Source organism: Homo sapiens, chromosome 8 (assembly GCF_000001405.40).
Source record: "Homo sapiens chromosome 8, GRCh38.p14 Primary Assembly".
NCBI lineage: Eukaryota > Metazoa > Chordata > Mammalia > Primates > Hominidae > Homo > Homo sapiens.
This window is the reverse complement of record NC_000008.11, coordinates 23,206,203-23,223,271: the sequence shown is the minus strand read 5'-3', so window position 1 is coordinate 23,223,271 and position 17,069 is coordinate 23,206,203. Positions and strand designations below refer to the sequence as shown.

The window sequence follows — 17,069 nt, the reverse complement described above, 5'->3', positions numbered from 1 at the left end:
AACACGGTGAAACCCCGTCTCTATTAAAAATACAAAAAATTAGCCAGGCGTGGTGGTGGCCGCCTGTAGTCCCAGCTACTCGGGAGGCTGAGGCGGGAGAATGGCGTGAACCTGGGAGGCGGAGCTTCCAGTGAGCCGAGACCACGCCACTGCACTCCAGCCTGGGCGACAGAGGGAGACTCCGTTTCGGAAAAGAAAAAAAATAAAAAAGAAAACTTGACGCTGGATAATTTTAAAAGAGGCTTATTTGGCACATGGTTCTGCAGGCTGTACAAGAAGCATGCCACCAGCATCTGCCTCTGGTGAGGCCTCAGGAAACTTCCACTGGTGGTGAAGGGGAAGGACAGCTGGATTCTGCCCATCAGGGGAAGGGGTGGGGAGGATGGCAGGAGGAGGGGGATGAGATCCGGAAGGGAGACGGGGAGGGGCCAGGTTCATTCTAACAACCAGGTGTCATGGGGAACTAAGATTGACAACTCCTGGGGGAATGTGGGAGGGGGCGGTTATGGCACCAAGCCTTTCATGAGGGATCCACCCCAAACCCCAACAGGCCCCACCAGCTACATTACGGTTCAGATTTCAACGTGAGCCCTGGCAGGGACAAAGGACCCGTAGCAGACACCAAGGCCTTCTGCCATCCCACAGGACCCTCTCATCCCACCATCCCTCAGCCTTCTTCCTGTGCATTTATAGGCACCTTAACTTTTAAAATTCTGACTGAAGAACAAATCGCATTGGATGTTTTCTATCAGTACATGCAAGTATCTCATTCTTTTTAACAGCATCATAATATTTAGTGCATGGGTGAAACACATGGCGTGAACCACAGTTAATTTTAATCTTCCATCCCATGGGCAATTGTTAACATTATGTCCTGCTTTTGTTTTTTCTAATTCCAGCAGCATTGTAGTGAGAACCCTTGTATGTGTCATATGTCCATATGTCAATGTTCCCTGAAGTATCGGGCAGCCCTTTAGAAGAGGAATTTTTAGGTACATGAGCTCATCAATGTAGAATTTTGTTTGGATATTGCTAAATTGTACTTCGGGAGAAGATTGTGCCAGTTTTACTCTCACACCAAGAATACAAAAGTGTGGCCGGGTGCGGTGGCTAACGCCTGTAATCCCAGCACTTTGGGAGGCCGAGACAGGTGGATCACGAGGTCAGGAGATCCAGACCATCCTGGCTAACACGGTGAAACCCCGTCTCTACTAAAAATTGAAAAAAATTAGCCAGGCACGGTGGCGGGCGCCTGTAGTCCCAGCTACTCGGGAGGCTGAGGCAGGAGAATGGCGTGAACCCGGGAGGCAGAGCTTGCAGTGAGCCGAGATCTCGCCACTGCACTCCAGCCTGGGCGACTGAGCGAGACTCCGTTTCAAGAAAAAAAAAAAAGAATACACAAGCGTGCCCGTGTCCCTGCACCCTTACTACATGGAACTTTCATTCTTTGCTACTCTAAGAGGTAAAAAATGATAGACCTCAATGTTGTATTTTTTGTTTCAGTGTTATTAGAGATTTTCAAGGATCCAGGAATTTTTTGAGACTGGGAGTAGATGACCTAGAGACTCCAGATTAGACCGTTGGGGAGGGAGCAGGGAAGACTGCAGTCGCACCTCTGCACTTAGGAAACTGTGGTCGGCTGGGGCCAGTTCCTGCCACCCGCCATGCCTGTGAATGGAGATAATGTCTCTGTCCTCAGACTGTCAGGATGACATCAGATGAGCCTGGAGCTGAGCTCAGTTTCTCACCCCAGGTCCTGGCTCTGTCAATGCTGGACTGGCCCAATCTCTGTGCCAGGTCCTTCCACCTCGTCTCGTCTCTCTCTTTATCAAAGTAGGAAATGAGAAATTCTGATGGCTCTGAAGCTTAGACACTCAGGCTATCAGAGCCCAGAGATTGGAGGCTGAAGACAGCCAGGGTTGGCCGTGCTCCTCTTCAGCTCTGTGACTCTGCTGTGGCCCCAGCTCCTTCCTATAAACTAGGTGGATATAAAAGTCTGCAGCGGCCCTGTGTAAACCACAGTGGTCTGTGTTGGCAGATGTGTGCTGTCGTGTGGGAGGACAAATCACATGCTCAGGGCTGGTGTCAGTCACTCAGGACTCTGGATCCCCAGAGCACCTGTCCTCTACCCAGCAGAGGCTGCACCTGCTCCCACCTGCACCTCCATACTGGCTCTCTGAGCTTGGGGCAGAAGGTTCTAAGGAATGGGGTGGAGCGCCATGGGGAGGGGCCGTGGAGGAACAGAGGAGCCAGACTTCAAGTTAGGACAAAGATGTCACTGCAGGGCCACAGCCTGGCTTACCTGCCACGTTTCCTTCCAGTTGTCCTTCTGGTGGGCACCCGGCACTGGTTGCAGTTTGAAGAGTGAGCAGGAAAGGTCTCCATCCATGTGGCTGCAGATGGCTGCTCACCCAGCCCCTACTGAGAGGCAACAGTCCCAGTTCTGGTCCTCTGTCCTGTATCCAGGAGTGACAGGGCAGCAAGGCTTTAGCTTCCAGGTCGGAGATGGGGACAGTGCCATGCCCTGAGCCTGTGCTGTTGGGCAGTTGGTGTCACTTAGTCTGGAAAAATGCCAGTGCCTTCAGTTCTCTTTCAAGTTCATTAGGACAGGTGCCCTGGGGATCCAGAGTCATGAGTGACTGACACCAGCCCTGAGCATGTGATTTGTCCTCCTACACGGCAGCACACATCTGCCAACACAGACCACTGTGGTTTATAAAGGGCCGCTGCAGATTTTATATCTGCCTAGTTTATAGGAAGGAGCTGGGGCCACAGCAGAGTCACAGCTGAAGAGGAGCACGGCCAACCCTGGCAGTCTTCAGCCTCCAATCTCTGGGCTCTTTGATAGCCTGAGTGTCTAAGCTTCAGAGCCTTCAGAATTTCTCAATTTCTACTTTGCTAAAGAGAGAGGTGAGGTGGAAGGACCTGGCATAGAGATTGGGCCAGCCCAGCCAGAGACTGCACATCTTCATTCAGGGTATTTTCCTAACCCAGGGATGTGGGGATTGTTGCTCTCATTTTGTCTGGGGAGAAAATGAGATTTAGGAGGAGGAAGTCCCCAGCATTTGGGACCTGGCCTGCTTGATAATAGCAGCTGCCTGTTGGACTGGGAAGGGCCTCTTCCGGATTCCCAGGCAGGTATCTGTGATAATGGGGAAAGGAGAAAGGGTCTGCTTTGTAGGGAAGAGCAGGGTGCACTCGGCACCTCAGACACTCGCCTGTGGCCAGGAGGGGATGTGAATCATCACATTTTACAGAGGAGAGGACCAAAGCTCAGAGAGGGAAAGTGTGTGCAGCTCAGAGGGGGAACGTGTGTGCACCTGGCCACAGGCAAGTCTGTCCAGAGCACTGGTAGGAATGAGAGAAACTAGGAATGACCACTTTAAAAACTTAGATGAAGAGAATCTCAAAGTTAAGTCATTGGAGTTTGTTGGTAATATATTTGTGTGGCTTAGGTCATGTTAAGTGCATCACACCCTCGCCCCCATGTCTGCTGTTGGTCTCAGCACTGGGTGGAGGGAGCGGGGACAGTCCTGATGAAGAGGAGAGGGGAGCAGCACCGGCTGGGGTGGGGCCTCTGCCGCTGCCTCTTCCTGTGTGGTTTTTCAGGGCTTAGGCTGCGCCTCTCACCTGGCTTGTCTGTGGGGAGGAGATCTTTGTTCTCTGGCTGCTTTTAAGATTTTCTCCTTAACAGTGTGGTTTCAGCACTTCGATGGTGGCAAAAATAATCTGCCGGAGCCATGTCTGTAGCATTTTTGGTCTCCCCTTCTGTATAATAGCAGCCGTGTTTTGGCTTCTGCAGGGCTAAAGTCCTCTGAGCAGCTGCTTCTCCACATCTCTGCCCTGCACTTGGCCTCTGGGAGCTCCTAGGGTTCCTTAGCAGAGTCCACAGGACTCTTCGGGGTCCCATCCCTGTGCTGTAGCCTGGAACCTGTGACCTGAGGCGGTGAGCTGAGGCCACCACTGGGCTCACCTCATGGGCTTGGAGGGAAAGTCACTCACCCAGGAAGTAGGTGATGAGCACTTTACTCTGAGAATGTCTGCGCCTGGTGGTGGTGGGAGGACAAATGAGCCCTGTGTCAGTCCTGCTCCCTGAAGCCCACAGTCTGGTGGAGGAGGTGTCACTAGGGACCTAAATAACTATCAGGAAGCATGGGGGCCACCTCCCCCACCCCCCACCTCCAGAGAGGCTGTGCCGGCTCCAGGGATGCCATCCCTCCCTACTTGACTCCAGCAGTTGCAAGGCCCCAGGTCATGGTATTGGTGGCTTAGAGGATGTGGTTTCATTAAAATCAACATTGAGGGGAATGATTGTACTAACAACAGCATGTGCTGAAATACAGTACTTGCGTGTGCCAAGCTCTGTTCTTAGCACTTCATATGTAAATGAACACACTTAATCCTCATACAACCAGACTGTACAGGAACCCTCATTGTCTTTGTTTTAGACAAACAGCATGAGACTCAGAACATTTGTTCAGTAGAGGGGCTGGGCAGGAGGATGAGCAACCCTCGGGGCAGCAGCAGTGATTGGGTCACTGGGTTCTGCTGACCTTTCCCAGGGGAGTATTTGGTGCTTTTTCATGAGGCCTGCATTCACCCAGCGCTGGGTCACTGCTGGGGGTACCTGAGAAGTCATGTAAAGCCACCTCTTATTTCCAGAATGATAGACATGTTTAGAGAAGAAGTGGCTTCCCCCAGACCATGAGGCTGGCCCGAGACTACAAGACAGATGGCTTGCTTCTTAACCCAGGGGTCTTTTTATACCAAAAGAACAAAGAAATAAAAAAGCCACGAAAGACTCAAAGGAAGCAGATTTTCGACCACAGCCAACCTCAGAACAATTCTGAGTTGCTCATTTTAAGATCAATAAGGCATTTTTTTAGGGTGTGTATGCCTGAGAGAGGAAATCAGTGTGAATATCAAACTTACCTCTGAAACAGCCTAACACAATGCTAATCCGAGAGGAACAAGGCAAGGAAACCCCCTGGTGAATGACTCATCTCAGGAAGAGGCAGGGCAGGGTCAGGAGAGTCTATGGAGGAGAAGACCTGGAACAAGACCTCTCTCTCTTGCTCTCTTTCTCTCTCTCCCTCTCTCTCTCTCACACACACAAACACACACACAACCTCACACCCCCATGAGCCCAAATCTGTGAACTGAGAACCTCACTTCTCTGACCTCACCTTCCATCTCCCTTAATCAGACGCCCACAAACCTCAGAGTTGTGTCCCAGCATCACTTGTTTTGACTGCCCTCCCCGACTGCCTTGACTTCGTATCTGCCTAGGAACCTGCCTGTGTGGACTTTTCCCTCTATGTGGACCTTTCCCTCTATGTCTACCGGTGTCCCTGCCACCAGTGGCATTTGTCACCTCTGCCTGGGCAGCCCCTCGTGACTCGGGTTATTGATGGCTGTGCCTCATCTCCCTGGGAACTGGAACTGTCCTAAGGAAAGGGAGGGTCGTGCCTTTTTCTTGATACCCCACGATTCCTTGCACAGCGTTTCTACCAGGCGCCGACATGCCCTCCTTGGATGAATGAGTAACATGGGTTCTAGGAAGCCCGCACCAATGCAGATGTGACGTCCTCAGCCTTTCATAGACATGTTTCATGTGAGAGGTGGGAAGAACAGCTGAACAGAAGGCTGAGCACTGTCCAGGTCCAGAGTCACCAGGAGCTCGTTGTCAGGTTTTCACTTGCTATTAGTAGAGATTTTTTTTTAAGGTACTATTTTTAGTGTTAGAAGTGAATTCAGGCCGGGCGCAGTGGCTCACCCCTGTAATCCCAGCACTTCGGGAGGCTGAGGTGGGCAGATCACGAGGTCAAGGAGATCGAGACCATCCTGACCAACATGGTGAAACCCCATCTCTACTAAAAATACAAAAATTAGCTGGGTGTGGTGGCATTTGCCTGTAATCTCAGCTACTGGGGAGGGCTGAGGCAGGAGAATCACTTGAACCAGGGATTCGGAGGTTGCAGTGAGCAGAGATTGTGCCACTGCACTCCAGCCTGGCAACAGAGCAAGACTCCGTCTCAAAAAAGAAAAAAAAAATGAATTCATCAGAAGGCATAATAATCATAAATGTGTATATGTCTAATAGTAGAGCTTTAAAATAAATGAAGCAACGCTCAAAAGGATTAAAGGGAGATCATGTCACCCCCTTCTCAGCAACTGATAGAACGATCAGATGAAAACAGTAAAATAACAGATCTGAACATTGTCAACCACCTTGACTTAACTGACATTTATAGAGCATATATGCAACATCTATGGGAGATTCCTTCTCTTCTATGAACATGGTACTTCACCAAGATAGACCACATTGTGAACTATAAAACAAATCTAAATACATTTAAAACAAAATAATATAAAATATGTTCTCTGATCTCAATGAAATTAAAGTGTTAAGCAATAACAATATCTAGAAGGACTCCAAAAATGTGAATATTAAGCAACATACTTATAAATAACTCATAGTTCACGAATGAAATCAAAGAGAATTCAAAATATTTCTTTTTTTTTTTTTTGAATTGGCTTCTTGCTCTGTCGCCTAGGCTGGAATGCAGTGGCGTGATCCCGGTTCACTGCAACCTCTGCCTCCCGGGTTCAAGTGATTCTCCTGTCTCAGCCTCCCGAGTAGCTGGGACTATAGGCACCTGCCAGCACGCCCGGCTCATTTTTGTATTTTTAGTACAGATAGGGTTTCACCATGTTGCACAGGCTGGTCTTGAACTCCTGACCTCGTGATCCACCCACCTCGGCCTCCCAAAGTGCTGGGATTACAGGCGTGAGCCACCGTGCCTGGCCTGGAGTTTCTTTTGGGGATGATGATGAAAATCTTCAAAAATTGATTTTATTGATGGTTATACACTTCTATAAATATATTTAAAGGAAAGAATTACATCATATATAAAGTATATCTCAGTAAAGTTCTTAAGGATTAAAAGAAGAATGGTATCAAAATCAATGACTCAGAGGTGTGCATTACTTACCCGTAAAATAAGTATAAATTAAACTCAAAGGTAGTAACAACATGACAAGGAAATAATAAGACTGAAATCAATGAAATAGAATTCAAACAATAAAAGGAATCAACAAGCTAAGAGTTGGTTCTCAGAAATGATCAACAAAATTAATAAAAGTAATAAACTGGCCGGACGAGATGGCTCATCCCTGTAATCCCAGCACTTTGGGAGGCCGAGGCAGGCGATTCACCTGAGGTCTGGAGTTTGAGACCAGCCGGACCAACATGGAGAAACCCCATCTCTACTAAAAATACAAAATTAGCCAGGCGTGGTGGCACATGCCTGTAATCCCAGCTACTCCGGAGGCTGAGGCAGGAGAATCGCTTGAACCCAGGAGACCGAGGTTGCAGTGAGCCGAGATCACGCCACTGCACTCCAGCCTGGGCAACAAGAGTAAAACTCCATCTCAGGAAAAAAAAAAAAAAGTAATAAACCAAACTTTAAAAGAAAAAAAGAACAACAGCATGAAATACCAATATCAAGAATTAATGATGGGATGTTATTACAAACTCTACAGCCATTAAAAGGAAAATAGTGGGATCTTATGAATAACTTTATGCCAATCAATTTGACAACTTGGATTAAATAGACAAATTTCTTAAAAAACACTACTTAGCAAAATAGCCACAAGAAATAAAGATAATTTAAATATTCCTAAAGCTGTCTATGAATTGGAATTCATTGTTTGTTTTGTTTGTTTATTTATTTATTTATTTATTTAGTTATGCTATTTTTTGAGTCGGAGTCTCGCTCTGTCATGCAGGCCGGGGTGCAGTGGTGCAATCTCAGCTCACTGGAACCTCCGCCTCCTGGGTTCAAGTGATTCTCCTGCCTCAGCCTCTGGAGTAGCTGGGATTACAGGTGCCCACCACCACGCCCAGCATATTTTTAGTAGAGACGGGGTTTCACCATGTTGGCCAGGCTGGTCTTGAACTCCTGACCTCAGGTGGTCGCCCACTTTGGCCTCCCAAAGTGCTGGGATTACAGGCGTGAGCCACGGCGCCCGGCCCCCCTGCTCTTCCTTTTCTAATTTAACTTTCTAATTTAAAAAATCTCCCAATTACAGAAAAGATGCAAAAATTATACTATACCCTTTACTTTGAACCACCTGAGAGCAAGCTACCCACAGAACGCACATCACCCTTATACACTTGAGTGGATATTTCCAACAAATAAGGACATTCTCCCGTATAACCACAATACAATCCTCAATATCAGACAGTAAGCATCAGTACATTACTACCAGCTAATCCTCAGACCCCAATGGTTTTCACTTGTCTTTATAATGTAATTTATTGCACAGAAATCCTGTCCTGAATAACTATACTGCTCTTTCATCTTTTTCTGACTCTAGTATTTCATGGGACATTGGCAGGCTGTTTTGGGGGACAGTTTGTAAAGTGCCTTTTTAAACCTGAAGTTCATTATTTAATATTTGATTCAGTATCCTGCTTTTTAAAAAATTTACACATCACCTAACCCTCATTAGTAAAAGCGTGTGTATGTCTGTGTGTATGTGAACACTGCCCAATCACAGGAGAATATCCATTTTTCTCAAGGGTACATGAAACATTCTCCAGGACACACTATATGTTAGGCCACAAAACAAGTCTTAATACAATTTTAAAAATTGAAATAAAACAAACTATCTTTTCCAATCACAATAAAAGGAAATTATAAATCAATAGCAGAAGGAAAACTGGAGAATCCACAAATATGTGAAAATTAAACAACACTTTTTTGCTGTTTTTTTTTTTTGAGACAGTCTGGCTCTGTCGTCCAGGCTGGAGTGCAGTGGCACAATCTCGGCTCACTGCAAGCTCCGTCTCTCAGGTTCACGCCATTCTCCTGCCTCAGCCTCCCGTGTAGCTGGGACTACAGGCACCCGCCACCACGCCCGGTTAATTTTTTGTATTTTTTAATAGAGACGGGTTTTCACCGTGTTAGCCAGGATGGTCTCGATCTCCTGACTTCGTGATCTGCCTGCCTCGGCCTCCCAAAGTGCTGGGATTACAGGCATGAGCCACTGCGCCCGGCCTAAACAACACATTTTAAAACAACCAATGGGTAAAAAAATAAATGAAAAGGGAAATTAGAAAATGTCTTGGGAGGCTGAGCTCTGTAGCTCACGCCTATAATCCCAGCACTTTGGGAGGCCAAGGTGGGCAGATTGTGGGAGGCCCCACCCCCCTCAAAAAAGAAAGAAAATATCTTGAGACAGATGACAGGCACACTAAAATCTCAGAACTCACCACTAAAGAACTTATCCATGTAACAACAACAACAACAAAAAGCAGCTGTACCCTCAAACCTATGGAAATTAGAAAAATGTTTCAAAAGAAAATATCTTGAGACAAATGAAAACAATATACCATAAGTTACAGGATATGAAAGCAGTGTTATAATGGAAAATGATAGCTGTAAATGCTCACCACATTAAAAGAAGAAATAAATGAACAATCTACCTTTTACATAATGAAGTAGAAAATGAAGAGCAAACAGCTGGGCGTGGTGGCTCACGCTTGTAATCCCAACACTTTGGGAGGCCGAGGTGGACGGATCACGAGGTCAGGAGATAGAGACCATCCTAACACAGTGAAACTCTGTCTCTAATAAAAATACAAAAAACGTAGCTGGGCATGGTGGCGGGCGCCTGTAGTCCCAGCTACTCGGGAGGCTGAGGCAGGAGAATGGCATGAACCTGGGAAGCGGAGCTTGCAGTGAGCCAAGATCGCACCACTGCACTCCAGCCTGGGCAACAGAGCGAGACTCTGTCTCAAAAAAAAAAAAAAAAAAAAAAAAAAAAAGAGGAGCAAACTAAGCCCAAACCAGCAAAAAATAGATCAGAGATAACAGAAATAGAGAATAGAAAAACTGCAGAGAAACTCAAAGAAACTGAAAGTTGACCCTTAAGAGAGATCTATAAAATGTACAAACCTTTACTTAGATGGACTAAGAAAAAAGACAGAAAACTTAAATAACCAAAACCAGAAATGAAAGAGGGGACATTTAAAACAACTTTACAGAAATCCAAAGGATTATAAAAAATACTATAAATAATTGCATGTCAACAAACTAGAGCACATTGATAAAACTGGTAAATTACTAAAAACACACTACCTACCAATATTCAATCATGAAGAAATAGAGATTTTGAACAGAACTATAGTAAGGAGATAGAATCCATAATCCAAAACTTCCCAGCAAAGAAAAGCCCAGGACCAGTTGGCTTCAATGATGACGTCTACCAAACATTTAAAGAACTAACATGAATTCTCAAATTCTTCCAAGAAACTGAGTTGGAGGGAACACTTTCTAACTCTTCGTGTGGGCCCCGCATTACCCTGATAATATAGAAGTGATGAAAGGAGGCCTCCATGTCTTGTTCCTGATCTTGGAGAAAAAACCTTTAGTCTTTCACTATTGAGTAGGATGGTAGCTGTTGGCTTTTCATATGTGGCCTCCAAATGTAAGATCTATAAGAATTATACAACTCTTGTAAGAAAACAGCAATTTTACCTTGGGGTATATATCCAAAAGAATTGAAAGAAAGGGCATAAAGAGATTTTGTACACCCGTGTTCATAGCAGCTTTATTCACAATAGCTAAAATGTGAACACAAACCAAGTGCCCATTGACAGATGAATGGATAAACGTAATACATATACACACAATGGAAAGGAATGAAATTCCAATGCATGGTACCGAATGGATGGATCGTGATGATTTTATGCTAATTGAAATATGACAGCCTCAAGAAAACCATAAAATACTGTATGTCTCCATTTATATGAAGTATGTAGAGTAGTTAAATTCATAGAAACAGACAGTAGAATGGTAGTTGCCACAGGCTGGGGGCATGGGGACAAAGAGACAAAGATGAGCACAAACAAATGGTTGAGTTTTAGAACTGGGAGAAAGATGCAAGTTCTGTCTAATTTTGGAGGCTTGGGGGAATGGAATGTGAGATTGATCTTGTAATGGGTGAGATCTGGAAGCCACTCATGCCAGTCCCTGCTTTGTCCCCACAGGTCGTACCTAGCTCAGCTGCAACCATCAAACTTCATGATCAATCAATTGGCACACAGCAATGGGAACATAGCCCTTTGGGAGAGTTGTGTCCACCAGGTACATTCTAAGACTGATCTCTAATCCTTTACACCTCTCTTTTCCTTACCCTATACTATATACAAAAATTATCTCAAAATTCATCAATAACATTCCTTTTCCATGTTCTTCAAGTTTTCTGTTTCCTACAGTTTCTGGTTCTTCTATTCAACAGATACTTATTGATCCTTTGCCAAATCCAAGGTTATGAAGCTTTATCCCCATGTTTTCTCCTAAGAGTTTTGTACTTTAACTCTTGATGCATTTTCAGTTAATTTTTGTAAATGGCATCAGATAAGCGTCCAACTGCATTCTTTTGCATGTGGCTATCCAGTTGCCATTCGTTGAAATGATGATTTTTCCCATTAAATGGCCTTGGCATCCTTGTCAAAAACCAATTGACCATAAAGGTATGGGTGTATTTTTGGACTCTCAATTCTTTTCCATTGATCTATATCTGTCCTCTTTCCAGTGCCACACAGTCTTGTAGTGAGTTTTGACATCAGGAAGTATGAATCTTTCTTTTTTGTTTTCCTTTTCCAGAATTATTTTGTTTATGCTGGGCTTTTTGAAATTCCATATTAATTTTAGGATCAGCTTGCCAATTTCTAAAATCAGCTGAGTTTCTCACAGGGATTGTGTTGCACCTGTTGCTCAGTTTAGAGGTTCCTGGCATCTTAACAATGAGAAGTCTTTTGATCCCAAAGCATGAGTTTTTTTGATTTATTTAAATCATCTCTAATTTTTAAAATAATGTTTCGTAGTTTGCAGACTATAAATTTTGGGTTGATTTTGTTAAACTTATTCCTAGATATTTAATACTTTTTTATGCTATTGTGGATAAAACCTTTTCTTAATTTCATTTTAGGATTCATTGTGAGTGTATACAAATATAATTGATTTTTGTACATTGATCTTGTATTCTATAACCTTGCAGAACTTGTTTGTTATTCTTAATGTTTTTATAATGGCTTCCTTAGGATTTCCTCTATATAAGAAAATATAATTTGCAAATAGAGAAAGTTTTACCTTTTCTTTTCCAATCTGGATGCTTTTTATTTCTTTTTCTTACCTAATTGTCCTGGCTAGAGCCTCCAGTACCATATTGAATAAAAGTAGTGAAAACAGATATCTTTTTTGGAGAACATCTTTCAGTTGTTCACCATTAAATATAATGTTAGCTGTGGGTTTTTGTAGATATTCTTTATCAGGTTGAGGAAGTTCACTTTTATTCCTAGATTATTTTGTGATTTTTATCATGAAAGGGTGTTGGAGTTAGTAAAATGCTTTCTCTGTGTTTTTGAGATAATCATGTGACTTTTGGTTTTCATTCTATTGATATAATTTGTTACATCAATTTATTTTGGGATGTTGAACCAACCTTTCATTCCTAGGATAAAACTTATTTGGTCCTGGTATATAATTCTTTTTTGTTTTGTTTTGTTTTTTGTTTTTGAGATGGAGTCTCACTCTGTTGCCCAGGCTGGAGTGCAGTGGCGCGATCTCGGCTCACTGCAAGCTCTGCCTCCCGGGTTCACACCATTCTCCTGCCTCAGCCTTCCAAGTAGCAGGGACTACAGGCGCCTGCCACCACGCCCAGCTAATTTTTTGTATTTTTTAGTAGAGACGGGGTTTCACCGTGTTAACCAGGATGGTCTAGATCTCCTGACCTTGTGATCTGCCTGCCTCAGCCTTCCAAAGTGCTGGGATTACAGTCGTGAGCCACCGTGCCCAGCCTATAATTCTTTTTGTATGCTTGTGGATTCAACTTGCTAGTATTTTGTTGCAAATTTTTGCAACAATATTCATAAGAATCGTTAGTCTGTAGTTTTCTTTCTTTATGAGGTCCTTTTCTGGTCTTCATATTAAGCTAATTGTATTAGTCCGTTTATATGGTGCTGATAAAGACATACCCAAAGCTGGCAATTTACAAAAGAAAGAGGTTTAATTGGACTTAACAGTTCCATGTGGCTGCAGAAGCCTCACAATCATGGCAGAAGACAAGGAAGAGCAAGTCACATCTTACTTGGATGGCAGCAAGCAAAGAGCTTGTACAGGAAAACTCCACCTTATAATAACCATCAGATATCATGAGACTTACTCACTATAATGAGAACAGCATGGGAAAGACCTGCCCCTGTGATTCAGATATCTCCCACCAGGTCCCTCCCACAACATGTGGGAATTCAACATGAAATTTGAGTGAGAATGTATCCAAACCCTATCACCCCTGGCCCCTCCCACATCTCATGTCCTCACATTTCAAAACCAATCATGCCTTCCCAACAGTCCCCCAAAGTCTTAACTCATTTCAGCATTAGCTCGGAAGTTCACCGTCCAAAGTCTCATGTGAGACAAAGCAAGTCCCTTCTGCCTATGAGCCTATAAAATCAAAAGCAAGTTAGTTACTTCCTAGATATAATGGGGGTACAGGCATTGGATAAATACATCCATTCCAAATGGGTGACATTGTCGAAAACAAAGGGCTACAGGCCCCATGCATGTTTGAAATCCAGCAGGGCAGTCAGATCTTAAAGCTCCAAAATGATCTCGTTTGACTCCTTGTCTTACATCCAGGTCACACTGATGCAAGAGGCGGGTTCCCATAGTCTTGGGCAGCTCCGCCCCTGTGGCATTGCAAGGTATAGCGCCCCTCCTGGCTGGTTTCACGTGCCGGTGTTGAGTGTCTGCAGCTTTTCTAGGTGCACGGTGTATAAGTTATCAGCAGTTCTACCATTCTGGGGTCTGAAGGACAATGGCCCTCTTTTCACAGCTCCACTAGGCAGTGCCCCAGTAGGGACTCCGTGTGGGGGCTCTGATGCCACATTTCCCTTCCACACTGCCCTAGCAGAGGTTCTCCATGAGGGCCCTGCCCCTACAGCAAACTTTTGCCTGGGCATCCAGGCGTTTTCATACATCTTCTGAAATCTACGTGGAGGTTCCCAAACCTCAATTCTTGACTTCTGTGCACCTGCAGGCTTAACACCATGTGGGAGCTGCCAAGGCTTGGGGCTTCCACCTCTGAAGCAACAGCCCAAGCTGTACCTTGGCCCCTTTTAGTCACAGCTGGAGTGGCTGGAATGTAGGGCACCAAGTCCCTAGACTCCACACAGCACAAGACCCTGGACTCCTACCAGGAAACTATTTTCTCCTAGGCCTTCGGGCCTGTGATGGGAGGGGCTGCCATGATGACCTCTAACATGCCCTGGAGACATTTTCCCCATTGTCTTGGGGATTAACACTCAGCTCCTCATTACTTATGCAAATTTATGCAGCCATCTTTAATTTCTCCTCAGAAAATGGGTTTTCTTTTCTAGCACATTGTCAGGTTGCAGATTTTCCAAACTTTAATGCTCTGGTTCCCTTATAAAACTGAATGCCGGCCAGGCGCGGTGGCTCATGCGTGTAATCCCAGCACTTTGGGAGGCCAAGGCAGGTGGATCATGAGGTCAGGAGATTGAGACCATCCTGGCGAACACGGTGAAACCCCGTCTCTACTAAAAATACAAAAAAATTAGCCAGGCATGGTGGTGGGTGCCTGTAGTCCCAGCTACTCAGGAGGCTGAGGCAGGAGAATGGTGTGAACCCAGGAGGCGGACTTGCAGTGAGCCGAGATCATGCCACTGCACTCCAGCCTGGGCAACAGAGCAAGACTCTGTCTCAAAAACAAAAAACAAAACAAAACAAAAAAAGAATTATATACCAGGACCAAGTAAGTTTTATCCTAGGAATGCAACATTGGTTAAAAACAAAGAAACAAACAAATAAACAAAAAAACTGAATGCCTTTTACAGCACTCAAGTCACCCCTTGAATGCATTGCTGCCTAGAAATTTCTTCTGCCACATACCCTAAATCACCTCTTCCCAGTTCAAAGCTCCACAGATCTCTAGGGAAGGGACAAAATGCCACCACTCTCTTTGCTTTCTTTGCTAAAATATAACAAGAGTCACCTTTGCTCCAGTTCCCAATAAGTTCCTCATCTCCATCTGAGATCATCTCAGCCTGGACTTTATTGTCCATATCACTATTAGGCTTTTGGTCAAAGCCATTCAACAAGTCTCTAGGAAGTTCCACACTTTCCCACATTTTCCTATCTTCGTCTGAGCCCTCCAAACTGTTCCAACCTCTGCCTGTTATGCAGTTCCAAAGTTGCTTCCATATTTTCAGGTATCTTTTCAGCAGCTCCCCACTCTACTGGTACCAATTTACTGTATTAGTTTTTTTTTTTTTTTTTCGTGCTGCTGATGAAGACATTCCCAAGACTGGGCAATTTACAAAGAAAGAGGTTTAATTGAACTTACAGTTCTACGTGGCTGGGGAAGTCTTACAATAATGATGGAAGGCAAGGAGGAGCAAGTCATGTCTTACATGGATGGCAGCAAGCAAAGAGAGCTTGTGCAGGAAAACTCCCCCTTATAATAACCATCAGATCTTATGAGACTTACTCATTATCATGAGAACTGCAAGGGAAAGACCTGCCCCACATGATTCAATTACCTCCCATTGGATCCCTCCCACAACTTACGGGAATTCAAGATGAGATTTGTGTGGGGACACAGCCAAATCATATCAGTAATATTGTCCTTATACAATGAATTGGAAAGTGCTCCTTCCTCTGCTGTCTTTAAAAAGGGTTTCTGAATAATTGGTATTAATTCTTCTTGAAATGGTTGGTATCATTCAGTGGTAAAGGCATCTGGGCCTCAACTTTGTTTTTCTGGTGAAAACATATACATGTATTTAGAATTAGCCAGCTGGATTCAGTTTAGATGATCCCAATTTTGTTGGCAACATCCAAGACATGGTAATCAGGAGCCAGTCGAACATATGCCTTCTTCTCTCCATCAGGCCTAATCAGGGTGTTGAACCTTGGCCACATAAACATCATAGAGCTTCTTCACAACCTGTTTGATCTGGTGCTTGTTGGTTTTAACATCTACAATGAACACAAGTGTGTTGTTGTCGTCTTCTATCTTCTTCATGGCATACTCAGTGGTCAGTGGAAGCTTGATGATAGCATAGTGGTCAAGCTTGTTTCTCCTGGGGGTGCTCTCCAGAGTCTCAGTATCTTGGGCCACCGGAAGGTGGGTGATGTATGGATATTCTTTTTTTCATGGCAGTGGACACCTTTCTACACTGCCTTCTTGGCCTTCAAAACCTTTGCATCGCTTCAGCTTTAGGAGGGGCAGGAGCTTCCTTCTTTGCTTTCAGTGCCATCTTGTGAAAACGACTTTTCTTTAGGAGTAGTTTTGATAACTAAGTCAAAATCTTTACTTGCTATATGTCTATTCACATTGTCTCTTTCATCTTGATTCAGTTTCAGTAGTTTGTGTCTTTCTAGGAATTTGCCCCTTTCATCCAAGGTACCTAATTTTTTGTTGTACAGGTTTCATAGTATTCTTTTATAATTTTTTTATTTCTATATAATCTGTAGTAATGTGCTCTCTCTCATTTCTGATTCTAATACAGTCATGCCTCAGTTAATGATGGGAACTCATTCTGACAAGTGCATCATTGTGCAAACATCATAGAGTGTACCTCCACAAACCTAGATGATATAGCCTACTGCATCCCTAGGCTATGTGATATAGCCTATTGCTCTTAGATTACAAACCTGTACTAGTAGACAATTGTAACACAATGATAAGTATTTGAGTTCCTAAACATGTGAACATAGAAAAGGCCCAATAAAAATATGGTATAAAAGGTTAAAAAAGATGATGTAGTTGTCTAGGGCACTTACCATGAATGGAGCTTGCAGGACTGGATCTTGTCTGGGTGAGTCAGTGAGTGGTGAGTGAATGTGAAGGCCTGGGACATTCCTGTACACTACTATGGACTTTATAAACACTGTACATTTAGGCTACACCAAATCTGTAAATTTTTTTTTCCTTCCTTCAATATTAACTTCGTGTAACTATTTTACTTTATA

The 17,069-nt window shown here is 44.2% G+C and overlaps 1 protein-coding gene and 1 pseudogene across 1 annotated transcript in view, besides 3 other annotated features; one reads left to right on the top strand and one right to left on the bottom strand.

Annotated features, from left to right (window-relative positions):
• The window catches only part of TNFRSF10A (TNF receptor superfamily member 10a), a 34,651-nt gene that overhangs the window by 1,831 nt on the left and 15,751 nt on the right, over positions 1–17,069 (top strand). Inside the window, exon 2 of the mRNA NM_003844.4 lies at positions 11,060–11,156. Within this exon, the coding sequence (NP_003835.3) occupies positions 11,060–11,156 (97 nt within the window). The remainder of the gene's footprint in view (positions 1–11,059; positions 11,157–17,069) is intronic.
• Positions 3,513–3,572: an enhancer, noted in NCBI's record as "active region_27111". NCBI's record gives its function as "activates an Ori minimal core promoter by ATAC-STARR-seq in GM12878 lymphoblastoid cells {active_cell/tissue: GM12878}" and the evidence as "EXISTENCE:reporter gene assay evidence [ECO:0000049][PMID:35858748]".
• Positions 3,753–3,822: an enhancer, noted in NCBI's record as "active region_27110". NCBI's record gives its function as "activates an Ori minimal core promoter by ATAC-STARR-seq in GM12878 lymphoblastoid cells {active_cell/tissue: GM12878}" and the evidence as "EXISTENCE:reporter gene assay evidence [ECO:0000049][PMID:35858748]".
• Positions 4,853–5,052: an enhancer, noted in NCBI's record as "active region_27109". NCBI's record gives its function as "activates an Ori minimal core promoter by ATAC-STARR-seq in GM12878 lymphoblastoid cells {active_cell/tissue: GM12878}" and the evidence as "EXISTENCE:reporter gene assay evidence [ECO:0000049][PMID:35858748]".
• RPL23AP55 (ribosomal protein L23a pseudogene 55) lies at positions 15,856–16,364 on the bottom strand (annotated as a pseudogene).